This window comes from Homo sapiens, chromosome X, assembly GCF_000001405.40.
Source record: "Homo sapiens chromosome X, GRCh38.p14 Primary Assembly".
In the NCBI taxonomy this organism is placed as follows: domain Eukaryota; kingdom Metazoa; phylum Chordata; class Mammalia; order Primates; family Hominidae; genus Homo; species Homo sapiens.
In genome coordinates this window covers 49,815,684-49,843,465 of record NC_000023.11, presented here as the reverse complement: position 1 = coordinate 49,843,465, position 27,782 = coordinate 49,815,684, and the positions used below count along the sequence as shown (strand labels likewise).

The following is a 27,782-nucleotide window of genomic DNA, read 5'->3' as shown; positions in this document are numbered from 1 at the left end:
AAGTCTTTCTTGCCCTCCAGGGAATACCATTGTGATATTTGGAGATGAAATGAAAGGGAACCCAAACCAGTCGGGAGCAGGGAGAGGAGAGAGAGAGAGAGAGAGAGAGAGGAGGGAGAGAGAGGAGAGGAGAGGAGAGGAGAGAGAGAGAGAGAGAGAGAGAGAGAGAGATTGATTCTCCTTAAGATTTCAACATAGTCTAAAATGGAGGTTGAAATCCCCTGGCCTTGAATGTCATCGGTATCTCTCTGCCTCCCTCTCAGCCCTCCCTTTAGTGTAAGGGAGCTTTATCTAGTCTTAGATGGCTGGAAGTCCCTTGGACAAACCATATATCCTTGTATGCCTGTCGATAGGCCAGGTCCTTATGTCTTGGTATTCAAAAGACCTAAGATCTTCCAACTCAAAAAGCCTTTCGTTTAGTTCTATTTTCTCAGTGTACATTTTCTGAAATCTCTTCTGTGACTCAAATGCTGATCTTGGGCTCTTTGATTCTATTTGCATTTCTGCTGAAATAACTCTACCCTGGGGCAGAAGCCTTGGGTCTGTCATCTGCAGCAGGGCCAAGAGTACAAGGGCAAGCTGGAGCTTGGGGTGAAAAACAAAGGTTAATCATTCACAATATCACACCTTCACAGGAAGAAGGAGAAATAAGTTTGTCAATAAAGTGATGAGCTCAGGAGGAAAAAAAAAGACCCAGGCAGATCCTAAAAGTGAACCTCTGCCTCTTCTCTTCTTTCTCCCCCTAGAGGAAGCTCCATGTTGAAACAGGAGACTTTAGTCTTGTTTTTGTTCCTACTGGATGTTCCATCTCCTAGCACACTAGCCATTGTGATCTGGAAAGCACTGCCTTACACATACCTTATTGTATGTATTCTGTCATTTAAATCTATAAGACAGTGTGTTATACCTGGAAGCAGATGAGGAAATGAGACTTACAGAGAACAAATAACTTGCTCTTGGTACATAGCTAAGAATTTAAACTGAAATATATTTTCTGTCAAGTCCTATGCTTGAGAGAACGTAACCTAACAGTTTCCTAGACGTTGGCTCCTGTCCAGGTTGAAGCAGGAAAGGGATAGCACTGCGCAGTCCCAAGGTCAGAATGTGTATGCCATATTGGAATCTGGGTTATAAGGCATCTTTGTGGGCTGAGCCCCGGGTCCAGTTGTTTATGAAGTCCAAGACATTTTAAGCATGAAAGGGGCTACAAGATATTGGAAGAGGGTATCCCCTATCACTCATGATGTCACCTTCCTTTAGATATGCATGAGTATGCAGAAAAGAGTTAACATAGCATCCCTGAGACTGTTATATTTAGAAAGACCCTTGGCTGGCATCTAGGAACTTGGCACTTGTGGTAGGCAAAATACTGGATATGCAAGGATGTCCACGTCCTAATCCCTGGGACCTATGAATATGTTACTTTACATGGCAAAAAGGATTTTGTAGACATGATTAAGGGTTGGGGCTTTGGGATGGGAAGATTATCCTGGATTAACTGGGTGGACCCAATCCAATCACAGGAGACCATAAAAGTGGCGAACCTTTCCCAGCTGTGGCCAGAGAGATGTGACTTGAGAAGGATTCGACTCACTGTTCTGGCTTTGAAGGTGGAGGAAAATGCTACAAGCTAAGGAATGTGGTGGCCTATAGAAGCTGAGAATGGCCCTCAGATGACAGCCTAAGGAAACAGGGACCTCTGTCCTACAATGTCAAGAAACTGAATTCTGCCGACCTGGAATGAGTAGGAAATGGATTCTCCCCTAGAGCCTCTAGAAAGGAACACAACTTTGCCAACACCTTGATTTCAGCCCAGAGACCTAAGCTGGACTTCTGACCTACAGAATTGTTAGACGATTCATTTATACAGTTTAAGCCTCTAAGTTTGTGATCATTTGTTATGGCAGCAATAGAAAACTAAGACAGCAGTTGACATGTTCCCTAATTGAGAAGGGTGGTTCACAGTGCCTAACCAGTTTGTACCAACAACGTAGTTTATTCTGAACACCTGCTTTCCTTCCGAGAGTCTGGAACTTGGGTACATAATAGGCAGGGGGTGCCTAATGACCAGACCCTAGTAAAAATTTGGGGCACTAAGTGAGCTTCCCTGGGCAAAACATTACCCACATATTGTGCATTTTCATTCTTGGGGAAGGATGTGCTCTATGGGCCCCCTCACAGGAGAAAGAGAGCATGAGGAAGCCTGTGCGTGGACTTCTGCAGACCCCACCTGTTCTTTCTATTTCTTGCTGATCATATTGTATAACCTTTTGCTGTAATAACAGCCATGAGTACAATAATATACTGAGTCCCATGAGTCCTAGCTAATTCACTGAATGTCTGGGTGGTCTTGGGGACCCCTGAAATGTTGAAGGGTCACAGGCCACATTTTGAGTGGCCAGCAAGTTCCAAAGTGCTACAGTAGATGTGATCTGAAGGCAGGCCTTTACATTCCATGTCTCACTTGGGTTGGTGACTGATAGAAACATGGGGCCCTGGATGACTGCCTTCCCTGTTGCTAAGCAACAGTGGTGTTTTCCAGAGCAGGGCAGGTTGGGGGGGGCGGCAAACAGGAAGTGCCATGTTCCACCATGGAAGAGGCACACCTGCTCCCTCTGGTGGTCTGTGCCTTTCAGCTGGCGTGGCCAGAGATGGGCACTTGCCATCATTGATTCATAGAAGGAAATATGGAGGCCGCAGGCTGACCCATCAGCTGGATGTTGAAGTTAGATTCCAATAGACCTTGAGGCCCAGCAATCTCAAGCAATTCCACTATGGGAATGTTTCATCAATTTCTCCTGGAAATATGTCCTAAGTGCAGAATTGTTTCAAGAAAATATCTGGATGGGCCGGGCGCAGTGGCTCACGCCTGTAATCTCAGCAGTTTGGGAGGCCAAGGTCGGTGGATTACCTGAGGTCAGGAGTTAAAGACCAGCCTGGCTAAGATGGTGAAACCCCGTTTCTACTAAAAAGACAAAAATTAGCCGGGTGTGGTGCTGCATGCCTGTAATCCCAGCTACTCAGGAGAGTAAGGCAGGAGAATCGCTTGAACCTGGGAGGCGGAGGTTGCAGTGAGCCTCCTGCCACTGCCCTCCAGTCTGGGTGACAGAGTGAGACTCTGTTGCAAAAAAGAAAGAAAGAAAGAAAATGTGTGGATGGACAGTAGAATCTTGTAGCACACACTTGATTGTTCTTTTCCTCTGAGTGGAGACACTAAATGTGGAGGGGAGTCACCTCCTGGATGGGAGTCAGAAACCCTACGTGAAGGTGTAGCTTGGTATGAGTGGAGTTACCTTTCTTGATCTCCCTTATCTAACAAGACACCTCCAAAACACATCTCTTAGGTTTCTTCCGAAATTAGGGGCCCTAAGTGTCAGTGAAATTTTACAACTACAGAAGGAAGGTGGCCAGCTTAGTTTGTTCTCTTATTCCACCATTCTTTCAGTCATGTATTGAGGCACCAAGCTAGCTGCTGTTGAATACAGTGGTAAACCAGTCGGCCATGGAACCTGTGCCCCACCGCCCCCATGGACTTCCCTGTCCAAAAAAATCCTTCCATCTGGTATCACCATGACCTGTCCCCTAATAATCAATATGGAGTCTGACCACCATTTTTTTGTTTTTAAGAGGCAGGTCTTGCTTTGTCACTCAGGCCGGAGTGCAGTTGCATGATTATAGTTCACTGCTGCTTTGAATTACTGGACTCAAGCCATCCTCCCACCTCAGTCTCCCGAGTAGCTGGGATTACAGGCATGTGCAACCATACCCGGCCTGACCACTGAGTCAAACAGACCTAGATTCCCAGTACTGCCTGGGTCATATGTAGAACCTACAGCTAGATAGACAGGACCTGGAGAAGGGATGTGGGACTCTGAAGCACACATGCTCAATGCTGTTTTCCCAAAGTCAGAGCATCATCATCCCCTGTCCTACCCAGGCTCTTCTGAATAGCCCTTTTAAATTTTGGAGAAGCCCTGCATTGAGTCCTTCCTCCCAGGAGGTTGCAGTGAGCTGAGATTGTGCCACTACACTCCAGCACTCCAGCCTGGGTGACAGAGCAAGAATCTGTCTCCAAAAAAAAAAAAAAAAGAGTCCTTCCTCCCTAAGGTGGAAACCAGAACTCAGCCTAGAGGAGAGGTGTGAGCCCTAGGCTCCACCAATTAGATGTTCCCCATTCAGATTTTGAATCAGGAGAAACACGTGAAGAGACCAGCGGAAATCAGAAGAACAGAAGAAGCTATGCCTGGTGACAGTGTCAGAGAGACACTGAGTTTTCACAAGCAGCCGTACTGAGTTTTCACAAACAACTGTAAGAGATATCCTAGTGGTGCTGGACTCAGCCTCAGTAGCTCCTGTCCGCAGAGGGGGTAGGATTGCAACTCGTGGCCACCTAGCTCCCAAACCAGATTCTCTGGCCTTTTTGAGGTTTCCCTGAGCTACTCAATAGGTGTTCAAAAATCCCTTTTCTGGGTAAGCTAAAATTGGTTCTGTTGATACAACTAAGAAGCCTGACAGGAAAAGAGGAACCTGAAAACAAAACAAAACAAAACAAAACAAAACAAAAAACAGGGGACCGCCAATTTGCTTTCTTTTTGACACTGACAGGACTAGGGATCAGGAGCATCTGGTGTCAAAGATGACTAGAGTAGGGGTCTCTAAGTCCTATTCTGGCTACCCATTTGTAAAGTTATTTGTTTATTTCTTTAAGCTCTTTTTCGATTTTAAAAGTCCTAGGTCCTCCATCCCTAAGGCCTGAACTCCTACACTTACCTATGAAGAGGATTGAAAACGTGCAAAGTGAACCCATGCTGCTAATTGGCATTAATGTTGCTGTGTGGCCTGTGCCCCACTGACCACAAGATGGCGAAAGAGATTATCACATCGAGCCAGCCTGTCTTCCTCCACCATCTCCACACCAGTATTATCCGAAAGAAAACATTTATTGAGCACTTACTGTGTGCCAGGCACTGTTCCAAGGACTCGAACGTATGAAGTCATTTAATCCTCACAATAATCCTATGAAATAGGTACCATTTCACGTGAGGAAACCAATGCACAGATATATCTGTCTGGTTTAGCTTTTAGCTATTTTCATATCATTTATCTACCGCTATTGTCCATCTATCATCTATCTATATCTACATATTAATTTACTATCTACATCTTTTGATTTTAAGTGCTTTTACATTATAAAAGTAACACATGTTCATGGCAAAAATATTCAAATGATGATAATTAGTAAAGATACAGTCCTCACCCCTCCCTGTTTATCATCCCTGTAGAACTAGTAATAACCATTGTTAACAATTTTTGTGTATTCTTCCATAAATTTTCTATGAATATTGAAGTATATTTTATACCTATATCTTACACACACACATAAACAAGACCATATTCCACACACTGTTCTACAGTGCTTTTTCCACTTAGCATTGCATCTTGGATATCAGATGTGGGCTGGGATGGCTCTTGCCTGTGGACCTCATTTAGAGGCCTTGGGTATGACACTGGCTGCACTCACCTGTGTACCAGGGAGCAAGTAGTGTCATCTGGTGCACCAGAGCCCCAGGTGACAGTGAGTGTGGGAGATTGGGGAAGCTGACAGGCTGCAGGGAGTGAGGAGGTATAATGGGATGTGGGGTAAGTTTGTTGATGGTTCTCAGGTAGGGCTGGCCCTCAGCTCTGGTGTATTCTGGTCCCTGACCCTGGTCCCAGACAAAATTCAGATTTGGATGCAACCAACGTTCACAGTGCCTTTAGGACAGGCCTAGATGTTTACTTTGCACATTCGCACTTTTTTTATCTCAATCTATATAGAATCCTTGGGAGGGAGGAATTATCTGCATTTTACAAGCAATAAAGCTAAGACTCAAAGAGGATCATCTACATGTTATTATACAAAGTTTTTCAGAAGTAGAATCAAAAGCCAACTCAGTTCTTTTGATCCCCAATCCAGGGTACTATCCATTGCACTTCAGCAAAGGCTTCTGGAATAGTACCTTGTGCCTGACACAATGGTCGTAGAGTACAGGCTTTGTATCCCCTTTTACAGCTCTGATCTTCCTCCCTTATTCTTCCCCTCTTCCATGCAGGCTTCCCCCAGCCACTACAGAGCTGGGGGCCAAGTGGGTGCCAATTCCAGAAATGTTTCTGAGGCTGTGAAATGTCCCCTCCAAGGAGCCTGCCTGAGGAGTGCAGGCAGAAGCTGTGACAGGCCATCTTTTCTGCAGCCGAGCCTGCCTCCAGCCCCATCCCAGTCTCCCCTCCCACCCCAGGTCCTGCCCTTCCCAGAAAAGGATGAAGCTCCAGCTGCAGTTCTGGGGAGGCCTGGACCCCAGCTCCGAAGCGGCTGTGGCTCCCAAGGCTGCTGGGCCTGGAGAGGCATGTCCCTGGCCCATCTTATCAGCGCTCTGCAGGGTCTGGGCTTGCTCCTTGTCTCCTTCTGGGCTCCTAAGGCCATAGGTGGGTTGATGGCTTGGCAGCCAGCCTTCTGGCCCAGCAGATGCTGAGCAGCCCGGGGGCACAATCCAGCTCTTCTCTCCAAGGCCAGCTGGAGGGATGAGGCATGACAAGTCCATCCCTACAGCTGGCACTTCCCCTACAGCTGAGAGGGGGCCTAAACTACAGGACACAGTCCCAAGACCCTTAAGCCCTGGCAGCGTCCCCAGGTGGGCAGCAGGTGGAAGTGGAAAGAAGCCTGTGGAGCTAGCTGCCAGCGGGGAGAAGGGGTTGGACATGGGGCTGAGGGGCCTCTGGGAACCCCTGTGCCAAGGGGCTGCTGGCACTGGGCAGCAGGACCCCAAAGCCCATGAAGAGTGTGCCCAGAGTAAGTGGCTCAGACCTGGGGCATGGCTCGAGGGTGTCGGGCTGTAGCTGCTGGTCCCAGAGAGTGCAGCCCAGGGCAGGCATCAGGACATGGGTCGGAGGAGAAAGAGTGTTCTAGGAAGAGTCCAGTCCCCGAGTCCTGGTGGTGGCTGGCTGTAGCCTAGTGCACGCTGTCTGGCTTGTGTGGCTGTGCTGCCTGAGTATACATACCCTAGCAACATTCTCCTTGCTCAGCACGGGACATCAGCTCTCCACCTGACCCCTTCCTCCAGGGAGGGGATGGGGAGGCCTCCTAGGGTTAGCAGCAGGAGTTGGTCCTCAGGAATCAGGAGCCCTTGAAAGGAGGAAGCGTGGTTCCCATACAACTGAGGGTCGCCCTGGGCCCCATCCTTCCTGAGTCAGCTTGAAGCATTCCAGCATCCTTTCAATAAATGTCTGCCCTTTGCGGCTTGCAATGAATCTCTAAAACTAGTTCCTTGCTGTGATGACGCACCCAGTTTATGAGGCCATTCCCTTCTATCTGCCACCTCTCTCTTGCCACCAGGTGACACATGTAGAAAGTAAAAATGATGTCCAGGTTGTATTAGATTTCCTTGCATACCTACAGCAGTTCCAATACCTGGTGATGGACTGGGAGGAGTACAACCTAAAGGAAAGACCAGGAGCTCACCAGCAGGTCTGCTCCACATCCCCTCCTCAGGGTAAGAATCAGTGTTAGGCTACCTTAAAGGCAGACAAAGCCAAGTGCTTAGTTTGCCAGTAAGGAAGAGCCCCACCTCCTTATTGCTTTTTGTCTGCTTATTCTCTCAGTTACCAACTTCTTTTCCTATTCTGCCAATTTTCCCATCATATTTTGAAACCACATTAGGCTCACATTTAAAATCAAATCTTCCTAGTGAATTGAACCTTTTCTCTGTGAAATACCCCTTTTTATTCCTAGTAATGCTCATTTGCCTTAAAGCCTATTTTAATTATTTTGTGCAGAATATCTTTTGTCCATCCTTTTACTTTCAACTTCTGTAAATTTTTATGTTTTGGATGTATCTTTTGTAAACAGATATTGTCAGTTATCTATACTGTGTAACACAACAACAGCTAGAAAGTGTTCAAATGTTTGGAAGAAATACACTTCCAAGTAATCTATCGTTCAAAGAAATAATGTGAATTAGAAAATATTGAGTTGAATAACAAAAATACTAAATATCATAATTTGTGGACTGCAGCTAAAGCCCTCATTAGAGAGAAAGTTATGAAGTATACATTAAAAAGAAGACTGAAAATTAATGAACTAAACAGCTATCTCAAGGAGTTAAAAACAGCAAATTAAACACAAAGTAAAAGAATAAACGTGGGAGCCAAAATTCACAAAATGTAAAACAAAAATAGGATAGCCAAAAGTTAGTTTATTTTGAAAAGACCCTGACATTGATCAAGAATACAAGAGAGAAGACACAAATGATCAGTTCTATGAATGAAAACAGGCATTAAGAGGATAAAGAGAGGATATTATGGACTATTTTGTATAACAAAAATTTAGATAATATGGACAAAATCCTAGAAAAATAAAACCCAAAGTGAAGAAATAGAAAACTGAAATAGTCCTAATGTGACTAAAGATATTGATTCAATTTTAAACTTCCCTACAGAGAGAACTCCAGGTCCAGATATCCTCACTGGCAAATTCTATCAAACATTTAAGAAAGAATTCCAATGTTAGCTGAACTATATGGAAAAATAAAAGAAGAATATACATTCTAACTCATATTATGAAGCCAGAATACCCTTGATACCAAGGCCTGAATGGAGTGAGTATTAAAAATTTATAGGTCAAGCTCGTGAACAAAAGTGCAAAAATCCTAAACAAAACATTAGGAAAAGGAACCAGTAATACATAAAAGGACAATATATCACAAATTAAATTGGGCTTATTCTAGGAATGCTATATTAACAGCTTAATGGAGAAATATCATACACCTCAATAGATGCAGACCAAGTGTTTGATAAAATTCAACATATATTCATGGTGAGCATGGTAAGTACTCTTAGAAAACTAAGAATTTTTTGAAAAGTCCTTAATCTAATACAGGTTGAGTATACCATCCCTGAAATGCTGTTTCAGATTTTGGAATACTTGCATCATACTTACTGGTTAAACATCCATAATCTGAAAATCTGAAATCTGAAATGAGCACTTCCTTTGAGCATCACGGAGGCACTCAAACAGTTTCAGATTTTGGAGGACTTCATATTAGGTATACTCAACCTATAGAAGGAATCTACATATATTTTTAAAACCTATCATAGTGAAATGTTGAAAGTTTCCCTCTTGACATCAGGAATATGACAAGAATTCACATCATCATCACTTCTAATCAACATTGTACTGGAGGGGTCTGGCCAGTGTCATAAGGACCAGAAATGAAAGTACAAAGCCTCAAAAGGAAAAAACAGAATTATCATTATTTACATGTGGTATGATTGTGTATGGAGAAAATCCAAAAGGACGTAGGGATAAACCAACAGAATAGGCAAGTTTAGCAATGTTGCCCAACACAAAATCAGTATACAAAAATATATACCAGCTCTAAACAGAACACAAGGATTTTTTAAAGATACCATTTACAATAGTGTCAATTTCCTAGGAATAAATTTTACAAAAGACACGCATGACTTCTTCAGAGAAAACTCAAACTTTATTGAGAGAATTTTCAAATTTTCAGTCACATTTTCAATGTGACATCAGCCATGTGTGTAGCTTCAGCTTGTCTTCTTTTTAACTTATGGCTGCCCATCTCCTAAAATATAAACATAACAGTTGAGTTCATTACTTAGCAGAACTTTACTGAGATGACACTAAAAGCACACAAAGAACACTAGTTTTGGTTTCTTAAGATGAAATTAAAACCAGAACGCTAACCACTGCATAGACTTCTATGCTAATGTACATTTTCAGGCATATGTGTACTAATTTTTAAAATGCCTCACTCTAGTGGTACAAGGAAACAAAGACTTCTCAAGCCAGAACAGATTAAATGCTATGAGCCCATTTAAAGATCATTTTAAGTAGAGGGCAAAAACAGCCACTGATTTCAGTTTTGTTTTGTTTTGATTTTTTAATCAAACAAAAAGTCCAAGAAGCAAAAAACAAGCAAGCAAACACAGTGTCACTCAAATGTATTGACTAAAAACTTTCTGCTAATTATATATTAGCTAAGGAATTGTTTAGCTGACTAAAGAGAGGTCAAAGAATGCCATTCCATTTGGTTTGTCTCTTTGAGCAAAAGTGCAAAAATAATTCATTGATCTAGTTAAATCTTTATGTGGATTCTTTATACCAGGGTGGCCATTTGTCTCATTGGCACCTGTTAACCTGATGTTGTATTCATAGCATTCCCTTTCCCTCTCAAAAGTGTCCTGATTTAGATGATAAAAATTACATGGTTGGAGGCCAGATATGCACGTTAAAAAATATATACATGGTCTTATTGGTTTATTTAAGCCACTACCATATAGATGACATTAAAATGTGAGGGAAACTGCTACTGTTTCTCAGTCTAGCTCACAGTTTTTTAAAAAATCAACAAACCAACTTGGAAAATTCAAAACATACAGATCTATCTTACTTGTTAGTGCCTAAAAGCGATTTGTGATAAACAATTCTAGCAAATTTTTTTCTTAAAGGAACACTATGTGTCATTTAGATACCCAATTGCCCCTGGGGTATGTTAAGTAATGTATATACTTTTAAAAGTATTTGATCACTTGCCTTGAGTTTTGGAAGATTTCTACTCCAAAGTAATAATACTTTCATATTTTATAATTCAACAACATGGCTTTGACCTAATTCATTTTTCCCCTGACACTGTCTTTGAATCAAGTATTTGGTGTCTGAACTACCTTTCAAATAATATTTGTATGCGAGACTTGTTATTAAAGTATATTATAGAAAAAGAGTAACCCCATGACTTCCATTCCGAATGAATAACGTACCTGCTTCTTTAGTCTTAGCATGCTTAGGATTAGGTGGAGTCTTCTCTTTTACATCAGAGCCATCTCCACGCTCACTCCGAGTCTTTTCCAGATCCATTTCCTGGCAATCACCTTCTACTTTACGTTCTTATATAAATAAAAAAGTTATTGATATAAGTAAGCAGTAAATTATAAATTAGTGTTATTAAATAAAGCTCTGTAGGCTTGTATTCTAACAAATGTGATGCATGAGTGCAATGGGCATTGGAATTTTCTACTAGAAAATGGGGAAGAATATTATCTCTACTATGAAGTTTTCTTTTCCTACGACTGTTTAAGACAACTTAGTTGTCACTTTCACAATCTACATATACTTCTGTTACTGTAAATCACTCATTACAGCAGTTATTTGTTTACATGAATTTCCCTGATTAGATTGTGAGCTCAAGGCAGAAATCATTATCTCATTTATATCCTCAGCACTTAGTACATTACCCGGCACCTAGCAAGCCCCAGTAAATGAATGAAAAAAATGTCTGTAAAAATATTAACATAAGACAAACCCAAATTAAAGAACATTTCACAAAACAATTGGTTTGGATTCTAGTTGTCAATGTCATGATATGCAAAGAAAGACTGAGGAACACTTCCAGATTAAAGAAGACCAGAGAGATATGGCAACTAAATGCAATGAGTAGTCTTGAATTAGATCCTGGATCAGGAAAAAAATCCTATAAAAGACATTCCTAGGCCAATTGACAAAACTGCAATGGACTATATATTAGATGTTTTCTCAATGCTAATTTTCCTGAATTTGATAACTGTTCTGAGGTTATTTAAGAGATTATCCATATTTTTAGCAGATACATACTGAATTACTTACAGAGTAAACAGTTGTGATATTTGAAACTCTCAAGTGGTTCAGCAATAATATATTAATATGGTAAAAACAGGGAGATAAATGGCAAAATGTTATAGCAATCAGTGAATCAAGGTGAAGAATACACAGGAGTTCACTGTACTTGGATAACTTTTCCTTACATTTTAAGTCCTTTCTAAGTAAAAAGTTAAAAAATAAATATATGACAAACAGATTATGGTTCAGAAAGACAAAAGTATTGAAGACTTTTAACGGTAACTAAAAGGATTTCACATTTTTATTTCTCTGAATTATGACATTTTCTAAAAATTGCTATGTAAGATCTAACCATAATATATGGTTTGCTCAAACTTTTAATGCAATGACTTATGCCCAGAAAAATAATATCCCAATAAAACCAAGTTTAACTCATGAAACAGTTTACAATTTTGTCTAAATTTAATGTAGTTTCCTTTTGTTTGCTAATATAGAGTCTTGGCAAGGATTGTATTTTCCAAGTATGCCAAAGAACTCTTAAGATATAAGATAAGTAAAATGCTGAAGAGAAAATTTATCACAAGGACTACAGCAGCTGAAAACTACACTATTCCCTTACCAAGGATTACTTTACAGGTTTCCAGCCAATTTTTAGGGGATGGTTTATTTATTCCTGTTACTAGTATAAAATCATACATGAAACACAAAATGCTCCTCCATGCCCTTCTCACCTTCGATCGGAGGTGTTCCTTCTCTCTCTTGTCCAGGTTCAATATCCTGATTGTCAGTTGGTGGTTCCTCTTGCTGAGATTCACCGGGCTTTTGAGAGGTGGGGGAGAGTAGATGCAAATAGAATATTGTTATTAATATCATGGCAATAGAAGTCACAAATATACATACTATGTGAAGGTAGCTAGTCACAAATAAATCTGAAGAGGTTTTTCCTATCTTCTCTGTAAGTACTCTTAAGAAAAGTTATTCTTCCTATATAGAATATACTTTAAGGAGTTACCTGCAAGGACCAATAATTCTGGAACCCATTTTCATCTTCTCTGGGCTGTATTATTTATTAATAAGCATGATAGGAAAGTCATAAGACTATTTCCAGACTCTTAAAAACATACATATGCAGACAATATCAGAAAATAAGTCTCCTTGCTCAATGTCTCATTAATGTGATTTAGTTTGCAACTATTTTCAGCAGGGAAGTCCTTTATATAACAGATCTATATTGGTTAACAATGTTTTAGATTTTCTTTCAGAAAAATACATTTCTGCCAATGGAAATAAGATACTGAAATGTACTCACAGCCACGAATGCAACCACATCGGGAGCCTCCTGACCATCTCCTCTTCCTCTGGATCTTGATCTCACTCGTGCACTCATCGCTGCAACTAGAAGATCGTGAACTGAAGACTGCAATAAAAAGGAGTAATTATACTTGACTCTTTCCATGGCCATCTGCTGATTGTAATTTTTTTTAATTTTGTGAGATTTCCATAATAGGTCCTGAGTTAATAATAACTACGCCTGGTTTCCAATCACATCAAATAAATCTATCTGCAAACTGCTTTGTTTCTTCCACAGCCAGCTCGGCAGAGAAGTGATCTTCAAGTCCTAGATCAAAACATGGGGTCTTTCCTAAAGAGACTTAATTTCATAACTAAACTCCATTATGAAGAGATTTTTTAATATACAGCCACCCCAGGTCCCCTCCTCCCCAGGTCCCCACTGAGAACTCCGAAACCTGTCCTCTTTCGGCAGTTTCAGGTGCCTCTGGGACTCAAAGATACCTCAAAAAGTACCCCCCAAGTTTTGCTCCATCTGATCCCTCTCCCCTCCGTGGCCCAACTTCCTCCCTCGCCCCAGCCCTGCCACAACCACAAGGTCATGGCGGCGCCACCACCTGTGAGGCCCTTCCTCCTCCGAGGCCACGGACTGTGCTGCCCGACCCTCCTGAAGCCCACCAGCTCCTCTTCACACTTAAACTCCCATGGAGGAACGATCGGTGGACCCACCCACTGAGTCTCAGTCTCAGGTGAAAGAGTCCCGACAATTGGAATGCAAACGGCACCCTCACAGCTCCGCGGCAGTTCACCTCGTGGGTGAAGGGGCTGATGGGAAGACCCCCAGTGAACACGAGCACTGAGGCAGGCGCTGTCAAGCGCGGGCTGTCCCACCCTTTCCCTGGCCCCCACTGAGGACCCCAGCATCCGTCCTTTATGGACAGTTTCATATGCCTCCAGGACTCAGATAGTGTCCCGCTCCAAAACTCACAGCATCTTGGCTGACCCTCCTCCCCTTCATGGCCCTCCTTCCTCCCCTGTCCCTGCCCCGCCGCATAGCTGCCTGCTAGGAGAAGGATGATGACCTCGAGGCCCTTCCTTCTCTGAGGCCAGGGACCACAGTGCCCGACCCACCAGAAGCCCGCCGGCCCACTCACTCACACCTGTTCTCACTTACACTTGAGTCAGCAGAGAGCCTGGCGAAGAATGAAGGGAAGAGAAGTGGCACCTACCTACTTCTGCCTCCTTGTTTAGACCTCAGCAGTGTCAACCCCACCAGCCAATCCCAAACCTCGGGGGTGTGTCACGTGGGTTGTCTTTCCAGCCCTCTCCCGCCTCCTAGAGGCTCTGTGCCACCTGGAGGAAGGGCCTGCTCGGTGCTGAGAAGGGCTTGTTTCTGGCTTCTGGCCCCTCCTGCAAAATGTTCTGTCCTTCTGGATCTAGGAATGTTCCCAGCTCTGCATTTCACCTGCAAATTTACCCTTTAATTTTTTCTCAGTGCTGCTACCTCAGTGGCCCTTAAGAGGGTATTCAGTCTTCCCAGAGATGCGTGAAAGCTTAGGTTCTCAGAGAGTGCAAAGCCATTTTAAGCATGATAGGAATCCAGAAAAAAATGTAAAGGAGAAGGATGATAAACCCACATACATAAATAAGCCTAAACATTTGCACAAAAATCCAGGCCAGGTGCGGCAGCTCATGCCTGTAATCCTAGAACTTTGGGATGCTGAGGTGGGTGGATTTCTTGAGCCCAGGAGTTCGAGACCATCCTGGGCAACATGGCAAGACCCTGTCTTTACAAAAAATACAAAAATTAGCTGGGCATGGTGGTGCACACCTGTAGTCCCAGCTACTTGAGAGGCTGAGGTGGGAGGATAGCTTGAGCCCAGGAGGTTGAGGTTGCAGTGAGCCAAGATCACACCACTGCACTCCAGCTTGGGCAACAGAGCAAGACCCTGTCTCAAAAAATAAAAAATCCTGTGACCCAGCATTTCTACTTCTAGGACTTTAATGTTAAGGAAACTGTCTTGAATGTTGACAAATATTCCTTGCTTGGCCAAACTTTTAAGTCAGGCTTCTGAAACTTCTCCTCCTAGGCCCATCTGTGCATTTCCTTGTAAAACCCAGTTTTAGCAAAGAGCCCTGCTAAGTCAATGTGGCATGAACCCTCCATCCTCAATATCTGATCATACTTGCTATCGCATGGGGTTCTTCATCTTCCACCATCCCCCAGGTGATGTCTGATTCCCCTTGGCCTGTCTTCAGCAAGAATCCTGCTAGGTGGGTTTAGCCAGAATCCCCCTTACCCCTGATGTTTCCTTTTAGTAATTTTCCACCCACGGACCGCCATACTGCTCCTTCGCTATACATTCCCACTGGCCTGCGCTGTATTCAGTATTGAGCCCAATCTCTCTCCCCCACTGCAAGATCCCATTGCAATGGTCCCTATACCCATCACCACAGTCCTAAATAAGGTTTTCCTTACTGTGCTTTAACAACTACCACTGAATGTTTTTTTTCTTTAACCATGTGAACAAAAATTTGGATACATGGGACTTCCAAAACAGCTTAATTTATAATAGCATGGTCATGGACTTGCTATATAAGTAAATTATGGCACACTTGAAAATGAAATATGGGTGACTACCAAAACCAGTGCTGAATAATATTTCCTGTAATAGTGGTGCTGTTCATTTTAAGTTATTAACTTGAAACATCCAGTTATGTAGCACTGTGTATGTACAATATGATCTCAAAAGAAAAGAGAGGTTCAATAGTGCTACCACACCACCAGCCTTCCTCTCAGACAGTAAGTGTGCTTTGTTCTTGTGCAACCAGCATGTTCTGGGGCTCCAAAGATATATGGTTCTCCAAGGGGAACCCAGCAGATAAAAGGCAGTGCTAGGGGTCATAGGTCTCCTGCACCTGGTGCACGTCAAAGAGCTTCACCATCACCTAGGTGGTCTGATCCTCTGCTGTCAGAGAAGGTGTGGGGGGTTGGGGGTAGGGGGACAGAAGCCCACTGTTACTGCTTTGGGCAAAAGTTAGATGGGTGCCTGCAAGACAGAAAGGAGCTTGCCCTGCACATCCCTGTCCAACCCCTCCTGCCCCCGCTAAACCCCTGGGGGAAAAATATCCTTTCTGTCCGTGCATGCCTGGACCTGGACCGTTCTCAGACTCTGCAGGTTACCCTTAAAGAAGCGCACATTCTTTGAGAGTTAGAAAGATCCCCCATGGCAGAAGTAGAATTGCCAGATCTCCCTCTCCTTCTCTCCCTCTCTCCTACAGATAAGATGTAGAGTCAATACAGAGCCAAGTGTGAAGAATATATAATTCTTCCTTGATATCACCAATCAGGGATAACCACTTTTTATATCTAAGCAGGAGCTGCTCCTACTACTCAGATCTTTATGTAGATTAAATAAAGATTTATTGAGAGACTGAGATCTCACACTCTGCAATCAGTATAAACTGTGGGCTCTAGTCTCAGCCTCCTGTTTCTCCTCAGGTAAAGTGCTTTCATTAGCTCTCAGGTGTTTCCTATTATCACTTGGAAAGGCTATCTGCAGCCTGCTGCCTCCCTGACCTTGGTGCCTGTCGGTTGGCAGCTGCTGTGTTCTCTGCATAGGATCAAGTTTCTCTAGGATGCTGTGAAGGAGTGAGAGGACAGGTAAGGTCCTTTCTGTGTGAGAGCTTAGATCTGAACTGAAAAAGAAATCCCGATTTGCCCAGCACCATGAGCCTTCCCAGAGAACCTCATCCTCAGGCAACATTAGTGCAAAGCAAGCACTCTGATCAACGATGTAGGTGATCCCAAGCCCTTGTTTGTATCATTGTGATGATTATAGATGTCACTTTCATTGTATTCATTTTATGTCACAGGTGATATCTGCTCCTTACAAATAATCCAATCACTAAAAATTGACTAATTCTACTGTTTTCTGCTATTTGATGGGAGGAAACACCACACTACTATTTGAATTTGCACTTTTGATAAATAATACGTTTGAACATTGTTATTCAAGTAATTCATGCTCATAAACAATCCACAAAATCAGAAAGAGGAGAATCAAGAAATAACTCTGGAGTTCCAGCATTCATTAAAAACCTATCTTCTATTTGTCATTTTAGTGCATGTGTTTCCATATATTTATCATTTTAGATGATCATTCATGCTGCAGCAAACATCCTCATGAACCATTTTCAGTCCACTTCCTTAAACATTTCTTCATGAAAAAAATTCCTACATGAAGAAATAGGGGCTTGAGAGTATGTACAACTTGTCTAATGTCACACCCTCTGGCAAGTTATGCCTGGAATTAAATCTGTATCTTTCCGATTCTGGTTTAAGCCTGAATCATAAACATAAACATGTATGCTTCTTCACCTTGTGCTACCCTATGGATCCAGTAGTTCCTTTGAATCCCTCAGCTCAAGGAGAAGCTTAGTAACCCCATGAGCACCATCCATGAGAGGTGATATGGTGTAGGTGCCCACATGTGCAGAATGCAGGACTGGCAGAAGAAACATCATGTGCTAAGTCTTGGAAGCATGCTTGCAAACTGCAGAGGCCACTGGAGCTGGAGACCGAGGCTGTGGGTCAGAGGAGGATCTTTTCTCTGGTGTCCTTTGACCTACTGTATGCCACAATAAGGGCATGAATATAAATATTATGAATATAAATATTTTGTGAGATGATTTTTCTAAACACTGACTGGTAAACATAAAGGCAATTTTCATGATTGCAAAGGAGAGTTCCTGGAAATCTTGACATGGATTGACAAAGTATGTTATTTTAAACTGTTACTCCAACTACCTGTGAACTCCTTCAAATACTACTCATGCCCATTCAGTTGCTGCACACATGCTCATATCTATTCAGATAGCTATTACTTAGCGTCAGCATTTCCGAGTAGTTCACCTGAAGCAACTGGAGAGGAAGGAAGATTCTGTCCTTGACAGCTCCACCATCGGAAGGAGAAGCCCTTGTTTCCCAGTCTCCTTATATAGAAACCACCAGGTTCACCTTTCTGTGCCAACTGAGCCCCATTTCATAGTTGTGCTTGTCACTTCAGTCTTCACTGATGGTGTGCAGGCCTCTCACTTGTGCTAGAAAGCTCATCTGGCTTTGGACTTCTTTCTCTTGGGCAAGCCTCCTCTTATGCATGTATCCCTTCACAGGTAATTAGTGAGGGTACGTTGGTCATGCTGGCCTTTGCTGGTTGTTATGTCTCTACCTGTATACCTTTGCCAAAAATCAGTTGTTTGTATAGGTGTGAGTTTATTTTTGGACTCTCTGTGCTGTGCTAATCTATTTGTTTATCTTTATGCCAATGTCACACTACTGTGACATAGTTTTGTAGTAACTCTTGAAATCCTACTTTGACTAATCTTGGTCTTTTGCATTTCCATATGAATTATGGAATCAGCTTGTCAATTTCTACCCCCCAAAAAACCTTCAGTAATTTTGATTGAGAATGCACCAAATTTATAGATCAATTTGGGGAGAATTGACATCTTAACAATATTGAGTCTTCAGACCCGTGAACAAGATATATCTCTTCATTTATGTAGGTCTTTTTTTTTCTTTTTTTGTGTTTTTTCAATTATGCAGGTCTTAGTTTCTCTCAGAAATATTTTGTAGTTTTCAATGTATAGATTTTTCATATATTTTGTCAGGTTTATCCCTTATGTTTTTCATGTTTTATGATATTGTAAATGGTATTGTTTTTATTTCCATTTTATTGTTTGTTGCTAGTAGACAGAAATACAACTTATTCTTTATATTGAGCTTGTATCCTGCAATTTTGCTAAACTCACTTGTTGGTTTTAGTAGATTTTCATTGGTTTAATTAGATTCTATCATGTTTTCTACGTAAACAATTGTGTTATTTGTGAATAGACGATTTTACTTTATTCCTAATCTGCATGCATTTTACTTACTTTCGTTCCATGACTACACTACCTAGAACCTCCACTACAATGTTGAACACAAGTGGGGAAAGTGGAAATCTCTGTCTTGTTCCTGATCATAGGGCAAAAGTTTTCAACATTCTGCATCTATTAAAATAATCATATTTTTTTTCTTTTTTAGCTGTTAATAAGGTGAATTTTATTGATTCATTTTCAAGTATTAAACCAGCCTGCATTCCTGAAATAAATTCCATTCAGTCATGATGTATTATTCTTTTAATGCATTGCTGGATTTAATTTGTTAAAATATTGTTTAGAATTTTTGCATGTATATTTATGATGGATGTTGATTTATATTTTCCTTTTCTATTAATATCTTTGTCCAATTTTGGAATTAAGAAATTCTGGCCTCATAGAATGAGTAGGGAAGCATTCTTTCCTCCTCAATATTTTGGAAGATTTTGCATAGAATTGGTATTACTTCTTCCTTAAATATTTGGTAGAATACTTCAGTGATGCCATCTAGGCTTGGAGTTTTCTTCTTGGAAACATTTTTAAGCTACAATTTCAATTTCTTTAAAGGGTTATTCAGATACAGAGTTATTCAGCTTATCTATTTCTTCCTGAGTGAGGCTTGGTGGTTTGTGTCTTTCAGATTATTGTCTATTGTATCCTTGCTGATTTTCTGCCAACATGTTCTATCAATTATTGAGAAAGAAATATTGTAATCTCAGACGTAATCGTAGATTCGTGTATTTCTCATCATGTATTTTGTGACTCTGTTATTAGATGCATAAATATTTGGGGTTCTTAGGATTGTCACTAACATAAATGTAAGAATCCGCAACAAAATATTAGCAAATTGAATCTAGCAATAAGAATAATACAGCACAACCATAGGAAGTTTATTCCAGGAATGCAATGCGAATTCAATATTCAATAATCAATCAATTTAATATTTGATATTAACAGTCTAAAGAAGAAAAATCATATGATAATATCAATTGATGCAGAAGAAGTATTTGACAAAATACAGCATCCATTCATGATAAAAACTCTTGGTGAAGTAGAACTAGAAGGAAATTTTCTCAATTTGTAAAGAGATCTGCAAAACACCGACAGCTAACATTGTATTTGATGGTGAAAGACTGAATGCTTTCCTCCAAAGATCAGAAACAAGACAAAGATTTCTATTCTAACTACATCTGTTCAACATCATGCTGGGAGTCTTAGCCAGCATAACAAGGCAAGAAAAAAGACATATAAGGCATTCAGATTGGAAAGGAAGAAGTAAAATTACCCTATTTGCAGACAACATAATTGTCTACATAGAAAATCCCAAGAAATCTACAAAAAAAACCTTCCTAGAACCAACAAGTAACTTAAGCAAGGCAGCAATATACAAGGTCATCACACAAAAATCGATTGGATTTCTATATATTAACAACATATAATTGGGGCCAGGCATGGTGGCTCAGGCCTATAATCCCAGCACTTTAGGCGGCTGAGGTGGGCAAATCACTTGAGGCCAGGAGTCCAAGACCAGCCTGGCCAACTTGGTGAAACCCCCATCTCCATTAGAAATACAAAAATTAGCCAGGTATGGTGGTACGCACCTGCAGTTCTAGCTTCTTGGGAGGCTGAGGCAAGAGAATTGCTTGAACCTGGGAAGCAGAGTTTGCAATGAGCTGAGATCGTGCCACACTGCACTCCAGCCTGGGCGACAAAGTGAGCGTCTGTCAAGTGTGGCACATATACAGCATGGAATACTATGCAGCCATAAAAAATGATGAGTTCATGTCCTTTGTAGGGACATGGATGAAGCTGGAAACCATCATTCTCAGCAAACTATCGCAAGGACAAAAAACCAAACACCGCATGTTCTCATTCATAGGTGGGAATTGAACAATGAGAACACATGGACACAGGAAAGGGAACATCACACATCGGGGCCTGTTGTGGGGTGGGGGGAGGGGGGAGGGATAGCCTTTGGAGATATACCTAATATTAAATGACGAGTTACTGGGTGCAGCACACCAGCATGGCACATGTATACATATGTAACTAACTTGCACATTGTGCACATGTACCCTAAAACTTAAAGTATAATTTAAAAAAAAGCAAACAAATAAAAACAACATAGAATTTGAAACTGAAATTAAGAAAACATTTACAGTCAAAACACTGACGTGCCTAGATATAAATATCACAAAATATGTACAGAATCTGTGTGCTGAAAACTATAAAACACTGATCATAAAAGTCAAAGAGGACCTAAATAAGTGGAAATACATGCTGTGTTCGTGATTTGAAAACCCAACATAGTAAAGGCAAATTGATATATAGATTTAACACAATACTAATCAGAATCCTAGGAGAACTTCTTGTACATATAAGACAGGCTGATTCGAAAATCTATAAGGAAAAGCAAATGAATTAGAATGGCTAACGCAATTTTGAAAAAAAGTAAGAAAGTTGGAGGAATCTCATTAACTGGTTTTGAAGAGTGCTTGCAGGTAATTTTTAGACTGCCCCTCAATTTGAGTTTAATTGAGTCTCATGATTGGACTAGGATAATGGATTTTGGGGAAGAATACTGTTGAGGTAAAGTACCCTTCTCATCACATCATATCAGAGGGTACGTGATGTAAACATGAATTCTTACTGGTGACATTAACCTTCATCACTTGATTAAGATGATGTATGTCAAGTTTCTCCACTGTAAAATTACTATTTTCCCCTTTTCTTATTCTATTCATTAGAAGTGTATCACTAAGTCCAGCTCACACCCAAGGGGAAGAGAGTTAAGCTCCACCTCCTGCGGGGAAGAATATAAAAGAATTTGTGGATATATGTTAAAATCTCTACAGTAACTAATGCGTATTTGAGGGGAAATACTTTGAGGCAATGCAAATAACCTTTTTCTCCTTAACGTTTAGGCGTCTAATTTTAGTATTAATCCATGGACCTTACCTAGAGCAATTATTACTGTGCTGTTCTAATAGTGATTTTCTATTTCATTTATTCCTTCTACATTTATTGTTTGGAATTATTCCATAAGAAAGATCTGTCTCTTCTCCATTTATTTACTTATTAAATTGTTCATTTATATCAGTATGGACTCATGGATTCCTTTTTATTTTTTGAGTTCTATTCCAATACAGTTGCCATGTGTTTTGTGACTCAGATTTTTCTAGCTTAGACATTGGGACCTCTTTCAGATTGGTTCCTACACACTTTTGATATCACAGTCATCTTTTTTTGTTTTGGTTTTTTAGCTTTTGTTTACTTGCTGGCACTGCATGATAAGACAAGTTCACCTGCTCTAGAATCAGCCATTTCTCCAGGTTTTTGGCTTCCTTGTATTAAGAAATGGTATTTAGAAACTAAGATCTGGACACTGAACAATCTGATTTTTAAAATTATTATAAAGTGACAGTAATCAAGGCACATAGATCAATGAAAAAGAATAGGATCCAGAGATTGGCCTACACAAGTATGGCCAGTTGGTTTTTGACAAAGGTGCCAAAGCAGTTCTACAGATAAAGGATAGTATCTTCAGTAAATGGTATGAGGAAAATTGGATGGTCATATGCAACAAAAATTAACCACTATTAAACCTCATACCATATATAAAAATTAACACAAAATGGGTCATATATCTAAATGTAAACTGTAAAACTATAAAAGTTTTCAAGAAAGTTTTATAAAAAGAGACTTTTAGTTTATCAATGAATTCTTAGACATGACACCAAAAGCACAATTCATGAAAGAAAAAAATTGATAAATCAGACTTCATAAAAATTTGATAGTTTTGCATTGTGCTCTTAAAACTGTTAATAGAATCAAAAGAAAAACTTCTCCAAATGCATTGTGGTATCCTGGAACATTAAAAGGATATTAGTGGAAAAATTAATGAAATCCGAATAAAGTTTATCATTTAGTTAGTAGTATATTACCAATGTTAATCTCTTAGTTTTGACAAACGTACTGTGGTTATATTAGATGTTAACATTAGGTGAATCTAGGTGAAAAGTATATGAGAAGTTTCTGTATTATCTTTACAACTGTTCTATAAATCATTTCAAAATAAAAATGGGTATTAAACAAAAAAAGTAGCCAAACCTAATAATCAAACAATTAGAGCTACTGCACTTGAAGCCAGAGAGGAGAGGTCAGAGGTTCATCATCTCTATCCCTGCACTCCCAATTTCTTAGGCAGCCTCTGCGAATCCTCTACAGCACCAGTCCTCAACCTTTTTGGCACCAGGGACCAGTTTTGTGAAAGATAATTTTTCCACAGACTGGGGAGTAGGGAGAGATGGTTTCGAGATGAAACTGTTCCACCTCAGATCATCATGCGTTAGCTATATTCTTATAAGGAGTGCACACAACCTAGATCCCTTGCATGCATAGTTCACAATAGGGTTTGCTCTCCTATCAGAATCTAATGCCACCAGTGATGTGACAGGAGGTGGAGCTCAGGTGGTAATGCTGGCTTGCCCACCACTCACCTCCTGCTGTCCAGCCCAGTTCCTAACAGGTCACGGGACTGTACTGGTTTATGGCCTGGGGGCTGGGACCCCTGCTCTATAGAACCCCTGGGTTCCTTGGAGTATGATTCCTAAACCATCCAACTTAATCATTAATAAGATTATAAGATAGAAATAGAAGCCAAACTTAGGCCTGAAGAATAAAAATGGTATTAGTGTCTCTTGATCATTAAGGTTTTTCTATCATAGAAGATCATTAAGTTGAATTGATACAATCTTTTCTTCACAAGGTCAAGCCTTTTGCTACCCAGCATTTTGACCTTAGAACTTCAAATCACTTGATTCATTGTTCAAGGTATCTTTAAAATGTCAAAGCTAGGGTAATTGGCTTCTGATTATGCAAGAGAAGGGAGGATTAGGCTATAATTTGAGGACATATGTGTATGATAAAATTCTACCTATGTTTACATTTTCATGAGCCCTCTTCAATGTCCTTAAAACAATAAAATACTAACTTCAAAAAAAAGACAACTATAGACTGGGAGATGTTTGTAAATCATCTATCTGACTAAAGCCTTATATTCATAAAATTTAAAGAACTCTCTAAACTCAATAACAAGAAAACACACAACCCAATTTGTAAGTTGGCAAATGTCATGGTCACTAAACCAAAGAGAATATACAGATGGAAAATTAGCAAAGGAAAAGATGCACAGCATCACTGGCCATTTGGGAAATGAAAATTAAAACCGCAAAAGATACCATTACTCACTTACTTGACTCACTGAAAGAAAAGTTACTGACAATATCAAGCATGGGTAAGGATGTAGAACTACTAGATCTCCCATATGTTAATAACATGAGTGCAAAATTGTACAGCCACTCTGAAAGACAGTTTGGCAATTTTCTATAAACTTAAATATATATATACCATATGACCCAAAAGTTCAGAGATGGAGCAATGAAGAAATTTTGCTCCTATCCCATCCAAGACAAAAGCTGGTTAAACTGTAAATTAATTACTTTTCTTTTTCTTTTTTTTTCCTTTTTTTTTTTTTTGAGATGTCACCCAGGCTAGGGTGCAGTGGTGCAATCTTGGCTCACTGCAACCTCGCCTCCTGAGTAACTGAGATTACAGGCACCCACCACCACGCCTGGCTAATTTTTTTTTTTTTTTTTTTTTAAGTAGAGACATGGTTTCACCATGTTGGCCAGGCTGGTCTCGAACTCCTGACCTCAAGTGATCCGCCTGCCTCGGCCTCCCAAAGTGCTGGAATTACAGCTGTGAGGCACCACACCTGGCCAACTTTTCTTTGACTCATCAGAGGACCAAGGTCATAGGGTAAATGCTATACCAAAATCTGGAGAGAGACAGGCACCTGCAGGGAGACACAGGACTCTGTGCCTTACGCTTACAAGGGGGCAGGAACCAGTGTGTAGATTAAACAATAAATTTTGATGAAGTCCTGAGAACCTAGTGTGAGCTAGCATGAGAATGTGAAGCTCCCAAAAGACTTATTCATGTGAGGTTACCCTCTTGTAGGCTTCTCCCCTAGGACTACCGCTAGGCTTACACAGAGAATCCAGAGAAAGTTCCCCCATGGTGCTGGCAAGAAGAGCAGCTGCTGCCAAACTCCACTTTGGTGCATTTTTCCTATCTCCCTTACAGAAATAAAGGCTTAAGCTGCAGGCACTGATCACACTATAGAAACTAAGGAAGGTGGGTCTGGGCAGAGTTTCAATGGTGACTTCCATATTTTCTCCCAACTGCTGTGGGGTTGCACCAGTGACCTCAAGCAATAGGTTTTCTTCAGCCTGTGAATTAAAACTTTTGTTTTATGTGGGGCATTGAGAAGATTGGGCAGAGTGGAGTTTCAACAATGACTTCTGTCACCCTTCCTTAGTCTTTTCAGGATTCTCCCAACCTTCCCTGTCAGTGCCTCCTGGAGTTGCTAGAGGGAAAACCTGCAAGCAAGTGCAAAACTACCATGTCTGCAGCCCCCAGGACCTCACACTCTCACACTAGCCCACACTCAGCCCTTAGCAAGTTATTTGGAAGTTTCTACCTTAATTTTATTGCTGACATATATGGCATTCAGAGGCATCTGTCTCAGATAATCAAATGCTCAGGTGCTGTGTCTCCCTATAGGTGTTTGTCTTTCTAGATTTCAGGTTAGTTGTTTTCCCAGAAAACTTATTTCCTTGATGATTTCAAGAAAAGTATTTAATTTGAAGTTTGCCCAGCATTTTTCTTGTTGTGAGGATGGAAGTGATGCCCTTTCCAGCCATCTGTATCTCTACACTGAAACCAGCCATCTTTTTACTTTTATCCTACCTATATCGTTGTATTTGCAGACAGCATATAGTTAGGTCATGGTTTTTAATTCATTTTGACAATTTCTTTTAATTGGTGTGTTTAGATCATTTAAATTTATTATTGATATAGTTGTATTTAGACCTACCATTTTATAATTCGTTTTCAGTTTGTTCTGTCAGTTTTTCATTCCTCTGTTTTACCTTTCCTCCCTTGTTTTGGGTTATTTAAAACTTTCAGTATTACATTTTAATATATCTGTTGTGGTTTTTACTATATCCTTGCATACACAGTCGTCCCTCAGTATCCATGGAGGATTGGTTCCAGGACCCTTGTAGATACCAAAATCCATAGATGCTCAAATCCCCGATATAAAATGGCATAGTATTTGCATACAACCTACACACATTCTCCTGTATACATTAAATCATCTCTAGCTTACTTGTAATACCTGATACAGTGTAAATGCTATGTAACTAGTTGTCATACTGTATTGTTTTTATTTGTATTATTTTTATCATTTTTAATTTTTTTTCTGAATATTTTTTATCCTCAGTTGGTACAATTCGAGAATGCAGAACCTGCAAATATGGAGGGCCAACTGTAGTTTTTTAGTAGTTACTCTAGGAATGACTGCTGCCAAACTCTACCCTGGTGCATTTCTCCTATCTCCCTTACAGAGAGGGAGATACACACTTAACTCTCCACATTCTACTTAGACTCAATGTTTTGTAATTTTAATTGGAATGTAGAAACCTTGCCACCTTATAGGCCTCTTTATCATCCCTTGTTCAAGCTCTAGTTGTCTTATGTATTACATCTGCATACATTGAAAACCCCATCAGACAATGTTATACATTTTACTTTTAAGCATGAAGCATATTTTAAAGAATTCAGGAGAAGAATCGTCTATTATATTTACCCAAATATTTACCATTTGTGAGTCCCTAGGTTTGAATCTGAGTTATGCAGGATGAGCGTTGAGAGTATGAGGCCTCTGAATACTTTATCTGTGTTTAGGGTGTGAGGTCTCTGAAATCTTGAGAGTCTGTGTTCTGAGGTTTGATTCTGAATGGTTTGGAGGTCTGTGTTCAGGGTGTGAGTTCTCTGAACTCTTTAAGGTCTGTGACTCAAGGTTTGGACTCTGAGCTATAGTATTTGGTGATCTGTGTTCACAAGTGTGAGGTCTTTGAAGTCTTTGAGGACTGGTGTTGTAAGGTTTTAGTCCACAGTCATCGTGGGTCTATGTTGAGGATGTGAGGCCTCTCAAATCTTTTGGTATCTTTTTTGTTTTGTTTTATTTTGTTTTTGTTTGTTTGTTTATTTTGAGACGGAGTCTCACACTGTCACCCAGGCTGGAGTGCAGTGGCACGATCTCGGCTCACTGCAACCTCTGCCTCCCACGTTCACGCCATTCTCCTGCCTCAGCCTCCCGAGTAGCTGGGACTACAGGCGCCTGCCACCATGCCCGGCTAACTTTTTGTATTTTTAGTAGAGACGGGGTTTCACCATGTTAGCCAGGATGGTCTCAATCTCCTGACCTTGTGATCCACCCACCTCGGCCTCCCAGAGCGTGAGCCACCGTGCCCGGCCAGGTATCTTTGTTTTAATGTTTGAGTCTGAGGTATTTGGGGGTCTCTGTTCAGGGTGAGATGTCCCTGCAATCTATGGGGGTCTGTTTCCAAATGTTTGTTTCACATATTTGGAGGTCCGAATTCATGGTGCGAGGTCTCTGTACTTTTAGAGGATCTGTTTCCCAAAGATTCAGCCTGAGTTATCTAGGGGTCCATATTCAGAGCTCGAAAGGCTTTGAAATTTTCAGTTTCTGTTCCAAGATTTTAGTCTTAGGGATTAGGAAGCCTGGATTCAGGACATACGGTCTTTGAACTTTTGGTGGGTCTAAGTCCACATTTGGGTCTCAGGTATAACATTTGGGATCTGTCTGTGTTCAAGAAGTGAGGTCTGTGGATTCTTTGAAGGTCTTTGTTCCAAGTTTTTTACTTGCGGTGTTTGGAAATCCATGCTCAGGGTGTGAGGTCGCTGATATCTATTAGGGAGTATGTTCCACATTTTGAGTCTGAGATACTTAGGTGTGTGTACTTATGTTCTCTGAAATATTTCATGGTCA

General features: G+C 40.8%; 1 protein-coding gene across 3 annotated transcripts, besides 3 other annotated features; it reads right to left on the bottom strand.

The window, feature by feature from the left end:
• Positions 406-700: an enhancer, noted in NCBI's record as "tiled region #10598; HepG2 Activating DNase matched - State 5:Enh". NCBI's record gives its function as "activates a minimal TATA promoter and a strong SV40 promoter by Sharpr-MPRA in HepG2 cells {active_cell/tissue: HepG2}" and the evidence as "EXISTENCE:reporter gene assay evidence [ECO:0000049][PMID:27701403]".
• Positions 6,799-7,299: an enhancer, noted in NCBI's record as "H3K4me1 hESC enhancer chrX:49600770-49601270 (GRCh37/hg19 assembly coordinates)". NCBI's record gives its function as "activates a minimal SCP1, AML or CMV promoter by ChIP-STARR-seq in primed H9 embryonic stem cells {active_cell/tissue: H9 hESC(primed)}" and the evidence as "EXISTENCE:reporter gene assay evidence [ECO:0000049][PMID:30033119]".
• Positions 9,202-14,206, bottom strand: PAGE4 (PAGE family member 4). 3 transcript variants are annotated; one of them, NM_001318877.1, is made up of 5 exons: positions 14,170-14,206; positions 12,960-13,067; positions 12,382-12,469; positions 10,816-10,941; positions 9,202-9,620 (listed from the first exon to the last, which is right to left on the bottom strand). In NM_001318877.1, exons 2-5 carry the CDS (start codon positions 13,035-13,037, stop codon positions 9,604-9,606), a joined length of 309 nt encoding a protein of 102 aa, NP_001305806.1. In that variant the 5' UTR covers positions 13,038-13,067; positions 14,170-14,206; the 3' UTR covers positions 9,202-9,603. The 3 variants fall into 3 exon arrangements, with proteins under 3 accessions (NP_001305806.1, XP_047298634.1, NP_008934.1); XM_047442678.1 differs by lacking the exon at positions 14,170-14,206 and adding an exon at positions 14,101-14,163; NM_007003.4 differs by lacking the exon at positions 14,170-14,206 and adding an exon at positions 14,115-14,163.
• Positions 13,759-14,259: an enhancer, noted in NCBI's record as "H3K4me1 hESC enhancer chrX:49593810-49594310 (GRCh37/hg19 assembly coordinates)". NCBI's record gives its function as "activates a minimal SCP1, AML or CMV promoter by ChIP-STARR-seq in naive H9 embryonic stem cells {active_cell/tissue: H9 hESC(naive)}" and the evidence as "EXISTENCE:reporter gene assay evidence [ECO:0000049][PMID:30033119]".